This window comes from Homo sapiens, chromosome 13, assembly GCF_000001405.40.
Source record: "Homo sapiens chromosome 13, GRCh38.p14 Primary Assembly".
NCBI classification, from domain to species: Eukaryota; Metazoa; Chordata; class Mammalia; order Primates; family Hominidae; genus Homo; species Homo sapiens.
The window spans coordinates 99,089,997-99,109,892 of record NC_000013.11 but is presented as its reverse complement, the minus strand read 5'-3'; the positions used below and the strand labels follow the sequence as shown (position 1 = coordinate 99,109,892).

Below are 19,896 nucleotides of genomic sequence, written 5' to 3'. Positions count from 1 at the left end.
GTCCAGGAAAACCATTAGCGCCTGCAGATTTCCCTTTTGGAAATTTTAAAATTGTAAATTAAGCTTCCTTTATGCATAGGACCATTCAAATGATGTTTTTCATATTGGAAGAATTGTAGGTTTTTTTTGTTTTGTTTTGTTTTGTTTTTTTTTGAGACGGAATCTCATTCTGTCACCCAGGCTGGAGTGCAGTGGCGCCATCTCGGCTCACTGCAACCTCTGCCTCCCAGATTCAAGCAGTTCTCCTGCCTCAGCCTCCCAAGTAGCTGGGATTACAGGCATATGCCACCATGCCCGGCTAATTTTTTTTGTATTTTTAGTAGAGACAAGGTTTCACCATATTGGCCAGGCTGGTCATGAACTCCTGACCTTGTGATCTACCCACCTCAACCTCCTGAAGTGCTGGGATTACAGGCATGAGCCACCGTGCCTGGCATGTCATTTTTTTTTGTTTTGTTTTTTGTTTTTTTTTTTTCCAAGAAATTGGTCCATGTATTTTAATTTGTCAAATGTATGTATGTAGAGTTATTAATAGTGTTTCCTTGTTATCTTTTTATGTCTGCAGGGTCTGTAGTGATGTCTTCTCTTTCCTTCCTGATATTGATAATTTGTATCTTGTCTCTTTTTTCTTTGTCTGTCTTGCTAAAGGTTTGTCAATTTTATTGATCTTTTCAAAGAACCATCTTTTTGTTTCGTTAATTTTTCTCTATTGTTTTTCTATTTTCAGTGTTGTTGATTTCTGCACTTTATTTCTTTCCTTCTACTTGCTTTGAGTTTATTTTGCTCTTTAAAACAATTTTTTTTTCTTTTTTTTTTTTTTTAGACAGGGTCTGGCTCTGTCACTCAGGCTGAAGTACAGTGGCCTGATATTGGCTCGTGGCAACCTTGACTGCATGGGCTCAAGTGATCCTCCCACCTCAGCCTCCTGAGTAGCTGGGACCACAGGCGTGTGCCACCATGCCTGGCTAATTTTTGTAGTTTTTGTAGAGACAGAGTTTTGTCATGTTACTCAGCTGGTCTTGAACTCCTGAGTTCAAGCGACCTATGGCCTCCCAAAGTGCTCAGATTACAGGTATGCTGCACCCAGCCTATATTTTTCTCTTTTTTATTTCTAGCTCTTAAGGTGGAATTTTAAATTACTGATTTTAGGGTTTTTTTCTCTATAAAAATATATGCACTTAGTACAGTACTTATATATTTCCCTCTTAGAATTGCTTTGTCCTACAAGTTTTGATATGTTATATTTTCTTTTTTTTTTTTTTTTTTTTTTGAGATGGAGTCTTGCTCTGTAGCCCAGGCCGGACTGCAGTGGTGCGATCTCGGCTCACTGTAAGCTCCGCCTCGCGGGTTCACGCCATTCTCCTGCCTCAGCCTCCTGAGTAGCTGGGACTACAGGTGCATGCCACCACACCCGGCTGATTTTTTGTATTTTAGTAGAGATGAGGTTTCACCGTGTTAGCCAAGATGGTCTCGATCTCCTGACCTCGTGATCCGCCCGTCTCGGCCTCTCAAAGGGCTGGGATTACAGGCGTGAGCCACCGCGCCCGGCGATATGTTATATTTTCATTTTCATTCAATTTAATGTATTTTTTTTTTCAGTTTCTCCTGAGACCTCATCTCTGGCCCCTGAACTATCTAGAAGTGTGTTGTTTAGTTTCCAAGTGACTAATTTCTAGTTTGATTCCACTGTAATCTGGGAACACACTACGTATGATTTTAATCAATCTTTCTTTCTTTCTTTCTTTCTTTCTTTCTTTCTTTCTTTCTTTCTTTCTTTCTTTCTCTCTTTCTTTCCCTCCCTCCCTCCCTCTTTCTTTCTTTCTCTCTCCCTTTCTTTCTTTCTCTCTCTCTTTCCCTCCCTCCCTCTCTCCCTCTTTCTTTCTCCCTTCCCTCCCCTTCTCTTCCCTTTCTTCCCTCCCTTCCCTTCCCCTCCCTTCCTTCGTTCTTCCTTCCTTTCTCCCTTCCCTTTCCTCCCTTCCTCCCTTCCTCCTTTTCCTCTTTCTCCCTTCCTCCCCTCCTCCCCTCCTCCCTTCCTCGCTTCCTCGCTTCCTCCCCTCCTCCCCTCCTCCCTTCCTGCCTTCCTCCCTTCCTCCCTTGCTTCCTTCCTTCCTTCCTTCTTCAGACTCTCACTCTGTTACCCAGGCTGGAGTGCAACCTCCTGGGCTCGATTCTCCCACCTCAGCTCCCTTAGTAGCTGGGACTACAGACATGCGCCGCCACACTTGGCTACTTTTGTACTTTTTGGAGAGGTGGGGTCTCCCTATGTTGCCCAAGCTGGTCTCGCACTCCTAGGCTCAAGCGATCCATCTGCCTTGACCTCCCAAAGTGCTAGGATTACAGGCACGAGCCACCATGCCCGGCCTTAATTCTTTTACCTTTCTTGGGTTTGTTTTGGATGATCTTCTTTTTCCAGTATCTTAACACGGAAGATTATGTTGCTAATTTGAGATCTTTTTCATTTTTAGAAAAATTCAATGGCTTTTGATTAAAATTCAGTTTGCACATCTGTCATCGTGATCAATTTTGAGTCATTTTCATTATTCTAAAAAGACATCTTACACCTCTTATTTGTCGCCCTCAATCTTTCCACGCTATTCACTCTCCTAGGCAATTGCTGATCTACTTTCTGTCTCTATCTCTTTGCCTACTGTGGACATTTCATAAAAATAGAATTATATGATATGTGGTCTTCTGTGACTGGCTTCTTTCACTTAGCATACTGTTTTCAAGGCTCATACATGTTGTAGCAGGTTTTAATACTTCATTCCTTTTTATGGCTGAATAACATTCAATTGTATGGTTAAAATACATTTTGTTTGTCTGTTTACCAGTTGATGGACATTTAGGTTGCTTCCTTTTTTTGATATTATGACTAATGCCGCTATAAACATTTGTACACAAGTTTGTGTGTGAATATATGTTTTCAACTCTCTTGGATATATAATTAGGAGAGGATGTGCTTGATCATATGGCAACTCTATGTTCAATCATTTGAGGAGTTGCCAAACGGTTTTCCAAGGCAGGTGCACCATTTTATATACCCATCAGCAGTGTATGGGGGTTTTAATTTCTCCACATCCTCACCAATACTTATTATCTCTCTTAAATTATGGCTATACTAATGAGTATGAATGGTTTTACTTTTTTTTTTTTTTTTTTTTTTGAGACATCATCCAAGCTGGAGTGCAGTGGCATGATCACAGCTTGTTGCAGCCTCAGCCTTCTGGGCTCAAGTCATCCTCCTGCCTCAGCCTGGAACCACATGCATACCCCACCACACTCGGCTAATTAAAAAAAATTTTTTTTGTAGAAACTGGGGTCTTGCTATGTTGCCTGGGCTGGTTGTGAACTCCTAGTGTCAAGTGATCCTTCTGCCTCGCCCTCCCAAAATGCTGGGATTACAAGCCTGCCACTGTGCCTAGCTATGAATAGTTTTTCACGTCTTTCAGTTGTATTTTCCTAATGGCTAATAATGTTGAGCATGTGCTTATTGGCTATTTGTATATCTTCTTTGAGCATGTCTAATTAGGTTCTTTGTCCACTTTTAATTGAGTCATTTATCTTTGAATTGTAGGTGTTCTTTATGTATCTTAAATACAAGTCTCATCAGTTATATGATTTGTAAAAATTTTATCCTATTTGATGAGATATCTTTTCATGTTATTAATAGTGTCCTTTGAAGCACCAATGTTTTTCATTTTGAGGAAATCCAATTTATATAATTTTTCTTTGGTTGCTTGAGCTCTCTTGGTGTTGTGTTTGAGAAACCATTGTCTAACCCAAGGTTGTGAAGATTTATGCCTATATTTTCTTCTAAGAGTTTTATAGTTTTAGCTGTTATATTTAGGTCTGATTTATTTTGAGTTAATTTTTACACATGGTATAAGGTAAGGTTCCAACATTATTCTTTTTCATGAAGATATCAAGGTGTCCCAGGACAATTTTTTGAAAGAACTATTTTTCCGCATTAATTTTATCTGCACACTTGTCAAAAATCAATTGACCATAAATTCATGGGCTTATTTCTAGAGTTTTAATTCTACTCCACTGATTTATATGTCTATCCTTATGCCAACACCACAGTCTTGATTACTGAAGCTGTATAGTTATTTTTGAAATCAGAAAATGTGAATCGCCAGCTTTGCTGTTTTCAAGATTAGTTTGGCTATTCTGGGGCCCTTGGATTTCCATATGAATTTTAGGGTCAGTTTGTCAATTTCCACAAAAAATGTAGTTGAAATTTTGATAGGCATTGTGTTGAATCTCTACTGCTACCTGTTTTTGCATTGGCCATAAACTCAGAATGGTTTACGTTTTGAAATTATTGAAAAAAAGTCAAAAGAAGAATAATATTTCATGTCAAGTGAAAATTATACAAAGTTCAAATTTCCATGCGTATAGAGTTTCACTGGAACACAGCCATGCTTGTCAATTTTTGTATTACCTATGGCGGCTTCAGCACCACAGTGACAGAGAGGAGCAGTTGCAACAGAGACGTTTTGGCCAGCAAAGCCTACAATATTTACTAACTGGTCCTTTCCAGAAAGTTTGCTGACCCTTGCTCTAGACAATGGCAAAGACTGAATAATCATTGCCTGAAAGTCCAAGCAAAATCAAACCCTAGGACTATAATCTTGGGCTGGAATTTTTCCTCCTATTCAAGGGGTTCTTGTTGTGCTATGTTTAGACCTGATGGAACTTGGTTTTTAAATTTTTTTCTAGTGTGATATGTAAATGTAGAAAGAGAGTGGCTGGACATGCATGTGGCAAGAAGAAGGAAGATGAAGAGGGAAAAGATAAACTCTGTGGGCATTAATAGAACAGTATAGAGTTCAAATATCAGAGGTGAAGGGAGCTTAACAATCTTTTCATTTTTACAGGTGAGGAAAGTGTGATTCAGGAAGTCTTCTCAGAAATTACATAACATCTGATTCTCGTCTTGCAGTTTTTGACAACCTTGCCTATCTTTAGACAGTTATATGACATATACACTCATACTCCAATAGATAATGAGGCAGGAGAACCGGGTCTTGAAGCAGGGAACCTAAGGCTGATTCAGGCTGACTTCCTAGAACTAAATCAAAAGGAAAACCCCAACGTTCCACACCTAAGTAACGAAAGGACCTGAGGCTACCCCTTTTGCAAAACCCCCCACCCTTTTTTTCTGCGTGGCAGATGGAAAATTGTACGTATCTCTGATTGGTTGCTTTTTGCAACCAATCAGACGTTTGCATAGAAGGGTAACTTTGTAACTTCACTTCAGCCTCTGATTGGTTGCTTTCGACAACCAATCAGACTGATGATGGGCCGCTAGTTTATTTACATAGGTGTACACCAAGTAACCAATGGGAAACCTCTGGAGGGTATTTAAACCCCAGAAAATTCTGTAAAGGGGCTCTTGAGAATCTATGCTCAGGCCGCTCCCACCCTTTGGAGTGTACTTTTGTTTTCAATAAATCTGCTTTTGTTGCTTCGTTCTTTCCTTGCTTTGTTTGTGCATTTTGTCCAATTCTTTGTTCAAAACGCCAAGAACCTGGACACCCTGCACTGGTAACAGATAATATTTTATTATTTTCTAGAGTGAGTTCCCATCAGTTTGTCGTCTCTGTTCAGAGAATATTCCCATGCCCTACTCAGGACACTCAACTTGAAGCCTATCAAGAAAATCGGAGCTTTGCTAAGAGCAGACTGTCTACGGAAACTCTTATTTTCTGGCATTGACAGTAGAATTCTCTTTTGCGTGTGCTAAAAACTGTGATTATGCGGCGTTGACAATGCACCTGACAGTTGGATATCACCTTATTTTAAAGCCCGCAGGCCCCTGAGTCTTCAGTTCACTCATGTACTATCAAAGACATGTGAAAAGGCAAAGAGTGATCAAAGAACAGAGATCAAAGTTGGGGCATTAAAAGTTATATTATTATTTTCATCGGTTAAACTCTATTCCTTCTTTGTATGAATGAAAGGGAGATCTGTGATTGGATTTCCACTGATTGCCACCCGCTAATCCGTGTCACACGGACAACATCAGCTGCAGCAGCTGAGGGTTGTTGGTGTAGATCTGAGCTGAGACTCAGCACGTTGAGAGGATGGGAGAAATTCAGCAGCTGCCAAAGGAGGGGCTGAGAAGGAGAAACGTTTCCATCAGGCTAATGAAACCTGTCAGCAACAGCAGGGGATCCAGAGCCCGTCCTCCCAGAATGCAAGAGGAGCGGAAGAGCAGCCAAGAAGAAAGGAGGGAGGAGGGGAGGAGGAAGAAACAAAGAATTCATAATTATACCAATTATAGCAGGAGTAGGAGGAGTTTGGCAGGAGGGGTGGTCATGAAACAAAAGAAAACAATTAAAGTATGGTTCAACAATTGGCAAAGTGCTGACTTTGTTCTCTGAACATTTCTCCTAGGGAGCAGCTTCTGCTGGGGCGGTGGTAGAGGTCGATGTGCCTAAGCCTTAGGGTCCCTCTTCACCCTGGGAGGAGCACTGGCAATGGGTTCAGATGGTCTGAAGTGTTTACAAATTCTGCGGAAGGAAAATATCATAACTGCCGTCAGTTAAGCCTACTGTGTCTTTCCACCTCGGCTTCCCTCATGGAGAGTTTTGGGGTTAGCTAAAGGGAAGCTGAGTTAGGAAGGCACCATATTAACTGCATTTTACAAAGATGTTTTGGGACATTTCAATAAAAGCACATGAGAAACCATAAAGTCCTATTTTTTTTTCTTTTCTTTTGATACAGAGTCTCGCTCTGTCGCCCAGGCTGGAGTGGAGTGGCGCAATCTTGGCTCACTGCAACCTCCACCTCCTGCTTCAGCCTCCCAAGTAGCTGGGATTACAGGTGCCCGCCACCACGCCCAGCTAATTTTTTGTATTTTTAGTACAGACAGGGTTTCACCACGTTGGTCAGGCTGTCTCAAACTCCATCCTCAGGTGATCCATCCGCCTCGGCCTCCAAAAGTGCTGGGATTACAGGCATTAGCCACTACGCCCAGCTGATAAAGTCCTATTTAGACATACACAAAGATAGCTTATTTTACAATCCTTATATTTATTTATTAAAGAAGGGAGAGAAAAATTAGGTAAAAATTAGTGAGATATGAAACAAAACAGTTAAGATGAGTGATTAAGTCAATAGGAGTTATTCCGACACTGAGAAGGAAAGTATAACACAAAACTTCCAGATCATACCAAAACCAATCGTGCATTAGGAGGAAGGGATATTCTGTTAGGAGAAACAAATGATTCTATATTTAGATTATTTGAAATCTGAGTAATAAAGAGTTGTGAATTATATGAACTCACATAGAATTAAGCCTGGCGTGGTGGCTTATGCCTGTAATCCCAGCACTTTGGCAGGCCAAGGTGGGAGGATTGCTTGAGCTTAGGAGTTTGAGATCAGCCTGGGCAACACAGCAAGACCCTGTTTCTACAAAAAATAAAAAATTAGTCATGTGTGGTGGCATGTGCCTGTAGTCCCATCTAACCAGGAGGCTGAGGAGGGAGGATGTCTTGAGTGCAGGAGGCTGAGGCTGCAGTGAGCCATGATCATGCTACTGCACTGCAGCCTGGGCAACAGCACGAGGCCCTGTCTTAAAAAAAATAAAGAAAAATAATTTAAAATCTATGTGGGTTAAACATGAAATATTGACTTTGGTAAGGAGAACATAAAACTCTAAAAATATTTTTTTTTGTTAAGACACAGGGTCTTGCTCTGTTGCTGATATGGTTTGGCTGTGTCCCCATCCAAATCTCATCTTGAATTGTAGTTACCATAATCCCCACGTGTTGTGGGAGGGACCTGTGGAGGTAATTGAATCATGGGGGTGGTTTCCCTCATGCTGTTCTCGTGATAGTGAGTGAGTGCTCATGAGATCTGATGGTTTTATAAGGGACTTCCTCCTTTGCTCGGCTCTCATTCTTCTCCTTGCTGCCGCCACATGAAGAAGGATGTGTTTGCTTTTCCTTCTGCCATGACCGTAAATTTCCTGAGGCCTCCCCAGCCATGCTGAACTATGAGTCAATTAAACCTCTTTCCTTTATAAATTACCCAGTCTTGGGTATGTCTTTATTAGCGGCGTGAGAATGGACTAATACAGTTGCCCAGGTTGGAGAGCAGTGTCCAGTTCATTACTCACCATAGTCTCAAACTCCTGGGCTCAGGGGATCTTCACATCTCACCCTCCAAAGTAGCTGGGACCACTGGCATGCACCACCATGCCTAGCTAATTTTTTGTTGCTCCGGCTGGTCTCAAACTCCTGGCCTCTAGCAATCCTTCTGCCTTGGCTTCCTAAAGTGCTGGGATTACAGGTGTGAGCCATTGTGCCCGGCCTCCATAAAACTCTTAATTTTCCAATACAATGAGGACATTGATGACAAACTAGGTAATGAATATTGTCAACTTGAGGACTCAGACACAGAAAAACTGAAAGTATCCTAAAATATTACGGCTCATACATAAATTTATTTACTAACAATTTTCCTGAAATTTGACAAAATCCAAGAAAGTTACGAGATGTTACCAACAACTAGTTGCTTTGATAGAAGTAGAAAGAAGCATTTCTAAACTATCAATCATTTTCAAATGTCAATTACCAACGCTTAAGATAATTTTCTTTCTATTCTTGCCAAACAAAATATTACAAAATCACTGTCTTTTTAAGAGGCTATCAGAGTGTCTGCAGACAAAAATTATAAGAAAAAAAGCCTTTTAGAGATGCATGAGAAAATTTGTTTATAAAAATACTATTTTTTAGGATTATGTGATGTTTGTGGTATTAAGTAGCTTAAAAATTATAATTTACATGATTTTTCTTATACTAAATATCTCCTTTTGTACTCTAGTTGATATTTAAAACTCTGTATTTTTTCAAGAGGACCCCTAGAAATTGCATATGATTCAGACCACTTGACACAGGATTTGCCCATTCTTGTAAATTTCTAGGTGTCCTGCCTTAGGAACAGCCCCTCTTCACACTCAAGTGACTTTCATGCTCCCAGCTTTTCTGCTATTCCCTTCTTGGAGATGTATATATATTTATATATATAGTTTTATAATTTTTCTTTTTTTTTTTTTTTTTGAGACGGAGTCTCGCTCTGTCGCCCAGGCTGGAGTGCAGTGGTGCGATCTCGGCTCACTGCAAGCTCCGCCTCCCAGGTTCACGCCATTCTCCTGCCTCAGCTTCCCGAGTAGCTGGGACTACAGGCGCCCACCACTACGCCCAGCTAATTTTTTTTTTTTTTTTTTTTCAGTAAAGACGGGGTTTTACCATGTTAGCCAGGATGGTCTCGATCTCCTGACCTTGTGATCCGCCCGTCTCGGCCTCCCAAAGTGCTGGGGTTACAGGCGTGAGCCACCGTGCCCGGCCTAGTTTTATAATTTTTAATTGTGGCCAATACACATACAATTTGCAACCTTAACTATTTTTTTTTAGTGTGTAGTTAGTGGCATTAAGTACATTCACACTATTTTGGAACCGTCACCACCATCCATCCACACAACTATTTTCATCTTGTAAAACCGAAGCTCTGTACCCATTAAACAACAAGTCTCCATTCTCCTCTCCCTCCAGCCCCTGGAAACCACCATGCTGCTTTCTGTCTCTATGAATTCGACTATTCTAGGCATCCTGTAAAGTGGAATTACATAGTATTTGTCTTTTTATGACTGTTCAATTTTTTTTCTGATTCTTATTTCTTGAACTGTTGAAGATAGCCCCCATCTATTGAAACTTTATATTTTTATTTTTATTACCGTGTTTTCTGGAAAAAATTGTGTGAGTTTTGTTAAATAAATATTTTCCAAAGGAAACTGGTTTTGACTCCTGTTTCACCCAGTCAACTTAGGAAGACATTTGTTTTAAAATCATGTGGAATTTTTGCCCAATTTCTGCTGTATTGGCTCAATGAAAAGATGTATCTACAGTGGAAATAATTGAGAAGAAAGCTTTAGTTACTTCCTCAGACATAGCCTTCTTATCTGTGATGGGGTTTTTTTTGAAACAGAGTCCTGCTCTGTTGCCCAGGCTGGAGTGCAGTGGTGTGATCTTGGCTCACTGCAACCTCTGCCTCTGGGGTTCAAGTGATTCTTGTGCCTGAGCCTCCCAAGTAGCTGGGACCACAGGTGTCTGCCCCCACACCCAGCTAATTTTTGTATTTTTAGTAGAGACAGGGTTTCGCCATGTTGGCCAGGCTGGTCTCTAACTCCTGACCTCAGGTGATCCGCCCACCTTGGCATCTCAAAGTGCTGGGATTATAAGTGTGAGCTACCATGCCAGGCCCTGTGATGATTAATTTTATGCGTCGACTTGACTGGGCCACAGGATGCCAGGAAGCTAGTTAAACATGTTTCTGGGTGTGGTTGTGAGGGTCTCTCTGGAAGAGATGAGTATGTGAATGAGTGAACTGAGGAGAGCAGGTAGCCCGGTGTGGGTCAGTCTCTTGGCCTGACTCTCTGAGTTGGAACATTTGTCTTCCACCCTCAGTGCTACTGTTTCTCAGACCTTCAGACCTGGGTTCAAATCTATACCATTGGCTCTCCTACTTGCAGGCCTTTGAACTACCTCATCAGCTTTTCTGGGTCTCCAGCTTACAGATGGCAGATCATGGGACTGCCTAACAAATTCCATTCTCTCTCTCTATAGATATTTATATATATTTCTGTTTCTCTGTAGAAACTTGACTAATACAACACCCAAGTCCCATTTTAGCCATTTCCAAGAGATTTCAAGTTACTCAGGGACATATCTCGATTGGTGTTTGTGCACCTCACCTGTGACATGAACTTTAACTTATCTTACAAGAATATTGTAGGAACTCATTTCATAAGGTAAAAATCATTTACATAACAGTGCTTTATAAACTAAGCTATTATTTTTATCATTATGCATTCACTGTTATTATGTCTGATCATTATGTGATTGTATGTACTACAGCAATAAGAAGAGATTGTTGATATTTAATGGCATTGAAGATAATTTTCACTCAACATCAGTCACCAAATCTTTTATGAAATGATGACATGGCTGGGCGCCGTGGCTCACGCCTGTAATTCCAGCACTTTGAGAGGCCGAGGCGGGCGGATCACTTGAGGTCAGGAGTTCGAGACCAGCCTGGCCAACATGGTGAAACTCTGTCTCTACTAAAAATACAAAAATTAGCTGAGTGTGGTGGTGGGCGCCTGTAATCCCAGCTACTCAGAAGGCTGAGGCAGGAGAATTGCTTGAACCCTGAAGGCAGAGGCTGCAGTGAGCCAAGATTGTGCCACTGCACTCCAGCCTGGATGACAGAGTGAGACTCTGTCTCAAAATAAATAAATACATACATACATACATACATAAAAATAAAACAAAAAAGAAATGATAACATGGCAGGCTTAGGGTTTGTAGTATACATTGCTACTGTGAGTATTAACGGTGTTCTGGATTATACATTATAGATAGAGAAATGAAACGAGCCACACTGTTCACTCTTTTGCAGTCATTTTCTTCACCCCACTAAGAAACCCCATGCCTATTAGCAGATATTTCCTACGTTTCCCGCCCTCCAGCCTCTGACAACTACAAACCTACTCTCTGTCTTTATGGATTTGTTTAATCTGGACATTTATGTAAATACAGTCGTACAATAAGTGGCTTTTTGTGTTTGGCTGCTTTCACTTAATGTTTTTAAAGTTCATACATGTTATGGCATAAATCAATACACACCCCTTTTTATAGCTGAATAATATTCCATTGCATGAGTCCACCCCCTTTTTTTTTTTTTTTTTTTTTTTGGAGATAGAGTCTCACTCTGTTGCCCAGGCTGGAGTGTGATGGCGTAATCTCGGCTCACTGCAACCTCTGCTTCCCAGGTTCAAGTGATTCTCCTGCCTCAGCCTCCTGAGTAGCTGGGATTACAGTTGCACACTACCACGCCTGGCTAATTTTTTGTATTTTTAGTAGAAACAGGGTTTCACCATGTTAGCCAGGCTGGTCTCGAACTCCTGACCTCAGGTGATCTGCCTGCCTCGGCCTCCCAAAGTGCTGGGATTACAGGCATGAGTCACTGCACCCGGCCATTCTCACTTTCTTGATAGTATCCTTTGTAGCACAAAAGTTTTAATTCTAATGATGCCCCATTTATCTATTTTCTTTTGTTTCATGTGCTTTTGGTGTCATGTCTAAGAAAACATTGCTTAATCCAAGGTCGCAGAGTTATATACTTCTGTTTTCTTCTAAGTGTTTCATGGTTTTAGCTATTTGATTTATTTTGAATTAATTTTTGTATATGGGGTGAGGTAATGCTCAATTTAACTGTTTTTGTATGTTTGTTTTCTGGAGACAGGTCTCACTCTGTCACCCAGGCTGGAGTACAGTGGCACGATCTTAGCTCATTGCAACCTTAACCTCCTGGGCTCAAGTGATCCTCTCATCTGATCCTCCCAAGTGGCTGGGACTACAGACATATGCTACCATGCCTGACTAATTTATTTTTATTTTTTGTAGAGATGAGGTCTCACTACACTGCCCAGGCTGGCCTCGAACTCCTGGGCTCAAGCAATCCTCTCATCTTGCCTCCCAAAGTGCTGGGATTACAGGCATGAGCCACCATGGCCAGCCTCAATTTAATTCTTTTTCCACATGGATATCAAGTTGTCTCAGCACCATTTGTTGAAAAAGACTATTCTTTCCCCACTGAATGGTCTTAGCACTGTTGCCCAAAACGTACCGGTTTATTCCTGGACTATGAATTATATATTCTATTTATCTGTATTTCTATCCTTATGTGAATACTACACAGTTTAGTTTATTGTAGCTTTGTACCAAGTTGTGACATAGGGAAGGAAGTTTGAGTCCCCTAATGGCAAACTGCAGCCTCGACCCCCTGGACTCAAGTGATCCTCCCACATCAGTCCCCCAAGTAGCTGGGACTGCAGGCATGTGCCACCACGCCCAGCTAATTTTTTTTGTCTTTTTTTTGTAGAAACAGAGTTTTGCCATGTTGCCCAGACTGGTCTTGAACTCCTGAGCTCAAGCCATTCACCTGCTTTGGCCTCTGAAATTACTGGGATTACAGGTGTGAGCCACCACGCCTGGCTGAGTCCTCCAATTGTGCTTTTATTTTTTTTAATTTTTAATTTTTTTTTTTTGAGACAGAGTCTCGCTCTGTTGCCCAGGCTGGAGTGCAGAGTGGCACTATCTCAGCTCACTGCAAGCTCCGCCTCCCGGGTTCATGCCATTCTCCTGCCTCAGCCTCCAGAGCAGCTGGGACTACAGGCACCCACCACTACGCCCAGCTAACTTTTTGTATTTTTAGCAGAGATGGGGTTTCACCATGTTAGCCAGGATGGTCTCGATCTCCTGACCTCTGATCCGCCCACCTCGGCCTCCCAAAGTGCTGGGATTACAGGCGTGAGCCACTGCACCCGGCGCAAATTTTTATTTTTTAAAAATGAAGACAAGTTCTCACTATGTTGCTTGGGCTGGTCTCAAACTCCTGGCCTCAGATGATCCTCCTGCCTCAGCCTCCCAAGTGCTGGGATTACAGGTGCAAACCACTGTGCCTGGCCAACTTTATTCTTATTTTCAGGACGGTGTTGGGTATTTTGAGTTCCTTGCATCTCCATATGAATTTTAGGATCAGCTCATCAGCAGCAAAAAAAGACAACTGGGATTTTAATAGGGATTATGTTGAATTTATATGTCAATTTGGGGAGTATTGTCATCTTAATAATATTAAGTCTTGCAATCCAATATTACAGTGTGTCTTTTACTTATTTAGGTTTTATTTAATTTCTTTCAACTATGTTTTGTGGTTTTCAGTGTACAATGTTGAATTTATTTTGTTAAATTTAGTCCCAAGTATTTTATTCTTTTTGATGCTATTGTAAACAGCTGTTTTTCTAATTCCATTTTTTAGATTATTCTTTGCTAGTGTATAAAAATAAAGTTGATTTTTGCATATTAGTCTTGTATCTTACAACCTTGCTGAACTTGTTTATTAGCTTTAGTAGTCTTTTTGTGGATTCCTTAGGCTTTTCTATAAACAAGACCATGTTAGGTCTTTGTGGAAAGTTTTGCAATATTAATGCAATCACTACCTGTTAAAGGTCTATTCAGATTTTCTATTTCTCCTACATACCAAGTTGACAGTTTGCATCTTTCTAGGAATTTTCACTAAGGTGCCTTCTTTAAAAGTCATTTTGTGACCTCTCTTTGATAGCAAAAAATTTTTTCTGAAAATATCTTTATTTTGCCTTCATTCTTGAGAGGTAGTTTTACTCAGCATAACATTCTTGCTTGGCAGGTATTATCTGTCTGCACATTGGTGTTGTGCACTATTTTCTTTTTCTTTTTTCTTTTCTTTTCTTTTTTTTTTTTTTTGAGACAGTCTTGCTCTGTTGCCCAGGCTGGAGGGCAGTGGTGCAATTTTGGCTCACGGCAACCTCTGCCTCCCAGGTTCAAGCAATTGTCGTGCCTCAGCCTTCTGAGTACCTGGGATTACAGGCATCTGCCACCACGCCCGGCTAATTTTTGTATTTTTAGTAGAGACGGGGTTTCATCATGTTGGCCAGGCTGGTCTCGAACTCCTGACCCTCAGGTGATCCACCCACCTCAGCCTCCCAAAGTGCTGGGATTACAGGCATGAGCCACTGCGCCTGGCCTATTCCATTGTTTTCTAGCTTTCACTGATGTTGAGCTGTCTGTCATTTATCTTTGTGAGCAGTCTGTCTTTATATTCATGATCTTCTCTTTGGTTCTGCAGATTCATTATGATGCATCTAGGTATGTATGGATTTCCTCTTATTTCTCTCTCTTACTATTTCATGTTAGATTTTTTTCACTTTTCCTCCATTTCTTTCAACTCCTTCCTCATATCTTCCATCTGATTCTCTGTCCTGCATTCTGGATTGTTGCAGACTGGGTTCTCCATAAACAGATGCTGAGATGAAGTTTGGGGTGCAACTTTGGGGTGATGTTTATTAGGAATCAACACCTGTGAAGGGAAAGAGGAGGATCCAGGTGTGTGCAGAGAGAGAAGTTGAACAGTGATGCAGGCTTGACAAAACACTTGCCCACCAACCAGAGAGCTTTGGAATCAATATCGTCTATCAGAGTTTTCCCACATCAGCCTGAAACCGCCACAACTTCCAGCTCCTACTTTATTCCTTCACTCAGTGTGAGCTTCCCTGGCAAGTATGTGATTACTGGTGAGGTGCTTTCTGCAGCAGAAGCAGAGGCAGATCCTGATGGAGCTGGCAGTCGAGGCTGTCCTTTTTACTTCCTGGGCAACAAGCTTTTCCTTGCAGGGGGACCTAGGTGGTGAACTTCTGCATCTACCCATGCATTATTCCTTCTGATCTGTCTTTTATTTTTACTAGTTCTTTCTTTAGCTGCCCCACTCTGATTTTAACCTGTTTGTTGAATTTTCTCAATTAAATATTTTATTTTGTCAAGAACTATTTACATATACATGTAACTTAATGGTGATTATTCTAAAAATGAAGTAGGGAGCACACACTGAGCTGTGTACGGCAATATTGGCACTCTTAGGTGGAAGGTCCCAGGAGCGAACAAGCTAAACAGAGTCTCTGGGTCATGATGGGCTTCAGCTTCACTGAGAGCGTACAAAAGCCCTCTGGGGAGTCACTGGGCAGGGCCATGCATTCTGGGAAGCACTGGACTTAGCACAGTCAGGACACCTGCCCAGGCTGTGTTCTAGCATGTTTGGCTAAGATGTTGCAGGATTGTCTTGAACTTTCCCCACCCCAGTTCTGAAATCAACTCTTTGTTTGGGAAGCCTTGGCTCCTTTTATTGGAGATTGCTACTTGGAAAGCAAGTTCTAAGTGCTAGATGTACTCATTACTATGAAAGTGACTGCTCATAGGACATTTTAGTGGATGGAACTAGAAAATACATGTATGTACACACACACATACACACACAGTAGTGTGCTGATGAATGTTCAACAGTAGGCTCTCTGGGGGAAAAAAAAGTCCCTGATTTGTAGCATTTACCAATTTCCTTGGTGATAATACTCCCATCCTTGTCAATCTAAAAGTCAGTTTAATATCAGCCTGCTGCAGAATTCTTATTTTATTTAATTAATTTATTTTTTTTTTGAGAGGAGTGTCACTCTGTCACCCAGGTTGGAATGCAGTGGGGCGATCTTGGCTCACTGCAAGTTCGGCCCCCCGGGTTCACACCATTCTCCTGTCTCAGCCTCCCGAGTAGCTGGGACTGCAGGCGCACACCGCCACGCCCGGCTAACTTTTCATATTTTTTTAGTAGAGATGGGGTTTCACCGTGTTAGCCAGGATGGTCTCGATCTCTTGACCTCGTGACCTGCCCACCTCAGCCTCCCAAAATGCTGGGGTTACAGGCGTTAGCCACTGCGCCTGGCCAGCCTGCTGCAAAATTCTTGAAAACTGAGCTGGTACAGGCCAGTGGCATACCACTGATGTGATATGTATGGACCTATCTCTCTCTCTTTCTGTCTCTCTCTGTCATCTATCTATTAAAACTCATGAGTTTATACTGATATCCCCAGAGCCAATCCAACACCACAGGGTTTATTCTTTCCTTCTTCCTTCCATATTTTTAAATCCTTTCTCTGACAGTGAGAAACCCACTTCCCATTACGAAGAATATATTACTTATTTTCTCAATCTTGAAATATACAGAAATTCATTTCAGAATGTCTAGTCCATACATCTGCAAATCCATCAAACAAACAAACAAAAACAGCCAGTTTACCAGAGTTCAATACTGTTTAGAGTTCTTTAGGTTAAAGATCTAATGGCATATAGTTCATATGCTTTGTTCAAAGTTACTGGGGTTTGTTCTTTAAAAAATGTTTTGACTTCAGTGTGGTTACATTATGATTATATAGGTCTGTCCATGTGTTTATTTGTATTCCATTTTAGAGTTTTCTTTTTTTTTTCTTGAGACGGAGTCTTTGTCTGTCGCCAGGCTGGAGTGCAGTGGCGCGATCTGGGTTCACTGCAAGCTCCGCCTTCTGGGTTAAAGCGATTCTCCTGCTTCAGCCTCTCAAGTAGCTGGGATTACAGGTGTGTGCCACCATGCCCAGCTAATTTTTGTATTTTTAGTAGAGGCAGGGTTTCACCATGTTGGCCAAGATGGTCTTGAACTCCTGACCTCAGGTGATCCACCCGCCTCGGCCTCCCAAAGTGCTAGGATTACAGGCGTGAGCCACCGCGCCCGGCCGAGTTTTCTTTATTCTTGTTAATTTTATGTTCTGCCTTATTATTTTTTTGAATATGTAAAACATTAACATCAAAAAGAACGGTACAGAAAATTGTATTCAGAGAAATATCACTCAACCTGTGTTCCCCATTCCTCCTCTTCTTTCTGCTTTGTTCCCACCTAACGTTTGAAGGTGACAAACTTAGTAATCTCTAGCTATCCTTCCTGTGTGGGTTGGGGGAGTTTGGTAGAAATAAGCAGATACTAGCATACTTTCCCTTATTTTTTACCTAAAGACAGCATAGTTCAGTTGCTTTTTTCTTTTTTTTTTTTTTTTGCTTTTTAAAACAACATATCCTGACAATCATTTCACATATATTAATAGGTATCTTTCTCATTCATTTTCTCAGTTGAATAATATCTTTGTGTGCATGTACCACATTGGCTCTATCTCCAATATTTGGGTATTTAGATATTTTCCAATATTTTGCCATTATAAATAATGCTTCAATGAATAACTTGGTGCATAATATTTTCCTTTTTTTAAGGTGTATTTTCACAGAAAATTCCTAGTAGTGGGATTGCTGGCACAAACGGCAAATGCATACATTGTGTTGTCAGATATTGCCATATTCTACTGCATAGCAGTTGTGTCACCTTGCATCTCTACCAGCAATGTGTGACAGTGCCTGTTTCCCAATAGCCTTTCCACATAAAGTGTGATACCTTATAATTTTTCCAATTTGGTGAGAAATTGTATATCAGTGTAGTTTTCATTTGCATTTCTTACATCATAAATGAGGTCAAACACCTTTTCATATGTTTACCAGCCATTTTATATCTTTTCTGTGAATTGTTTGGTCATGAGTTTTGCCCGTTTTCCTATTGTTTGGCCGCCTTCCTGCTTAAATTTTGAGTCAGCTGGAGAATCTTCAAGAGCCTGCAGTGAAGTCAAACTGTCTGCTACTCCAGGCGTGGTCTGTAGGTGAGCAGCATCTGATTTAGGAGCTTGACATCACCTGGAATTTGTTAGCCCTGTAGGCTCTTGGGCACCACAGCTGACCATCTCAATCAGAATTGCATTTTAACAAGATCCACAGGTGACTTATACACATAATAAAATGCGACATGCCCTCGTCTCAGCTATCTCTTAAAGACCTCATATTCCATTTCCTCTAAGAATGTCTCCTAAGTAAAACAGAAGTGAAAGAGGGGATTACATTCTTCCAGTAACATGAACCCTAAGTGGTATCTGGAAACATGTGTTAGATTAATTGTAATACCTTTCCCAGATGCTCTGTCTTGAAGAGATGTGTTTTCTACTTATGTTACCTAGCGGAATAAACAAGAGCCTACTTCTAAGCATGAGTTGATTAATTTCAAAAAACAAATTTGTAAAAAAAAAAAAAGTTTTTAGGTTGGTGCAAAAGTAATTGCAGTTTTTGCCACTGAAATAAAAGATGCAATTACTTTTGCACCAACCTAATAAATGAAGTATAAAGGTAGTGAATGTTCATTAAAAAAATTCAGTCAGGCCGGGCACGGTGGCTTACACCTATAATCCCAGAACTTTGGGAGGTCAAGGTAGGAGGATCACTTGAGCTCAGAAGTTTGATACCAGCCTGGGCAACATAGTGAGACCCTGTATCAACAAATAGTAAAAAAAATTAGGTGGGCGTGGTGGCATGCACCTGTCCTCTGAGCTACTTGGCAGGGTGAGGTGGGAGGATTGCTTGAGCCCAGGAGTTCAAGGCTGCAGCGAGCTATGATGGCACCACTGCTCTCCTTCCTGGACAACAGAGCAATAATCTGTCTCAAAATAAATAAATAAATAAAATTCAATCAGTGCAAGGATAAAATAAAGAACGAAAGTCCCCTTTCACACTTCCCTGTGACAGTGCACAGGAGTGCCTCCTTTTTATGGGTCACTTGTTATTTTTGCTAAAAACAGATATACTCTTTCAAGATATATCCAGAAAAGATTTTAAACTAATTATATGTTATTAAGACACATACAAATCCTAAAGCAAACTTAACAAGGAAATGATGTAGTAAGAGGTTATCATTAAACATGAGTAATGCTTGAATTATAAATTTGGGTGTAGTACAGTCATTTACATGCAAATTTCAGAACTGGCTGCAATTATATTTCATCTCCACTACCTACTAGTATAATTTTCAACAGAAAGAAAAGCTTTCTTCCTATAGTTTGGAAAAACAAAGATGAGGTTACTCCATCAAGCTAATGTAGGTGGATGTATCTTCTACCGTACCTGAGACACCATCCACCCAGTCCAGCCAGAGGTCAGCCTCATCCCAGGTAGCCAGGTAGCACCCTCTTTTGGGCTGATGCTCTGCCCCTCTGTAGGTATGACTGCTCTCCAGGAAATAGTGATGCCAAAAGAATTCACACAATTCCAGGCCCACTCTGGTGGAAATTTTAAAAATAGCCTTTGGCCAGCATGTTGGTTTCCCAGGACTGCTGTAAAAGTTCCACAAACTTAAAACAACAGAATTTCTTCTGTCACTGTTCTAGAGGCTAGAATTCTGAAGTCAAGGTGTCAGCAGGCCATGCTCCCTCTGATGACTTTAGGGAAGAATCCTTCCTTGCCTCTTCCAGTTTCTGGTGGTTCCCAGTGATCCTTGCTGTTCTGTGGCTTGCAGGTGTGCAGTATTCTCCTTCCTACCTTTGTTGTCACATAGTATTTTTCCTTTGTG

General features: G+C 41.1%; 1 annotated feature.

Annotated features, from left to right (window-relative positions):
- Positions 9,900 to 10,065: a silencer, noted in NCBI's record as "fragment chr13:99752082-99752247 (GRCh37/hg19 assembly coordinates)". NCBI's record gives its function as "represses an EF-1alpha promoter that drives an FKBP-Casp9 reporter gene in an ReSE screen in HepG2 liver carcinoma cells {active_cell/tissue: HepG2}" and the evidence as "EXISTENCE:reporter gene assay evidence [ECO:0000049][PMID:32094911]".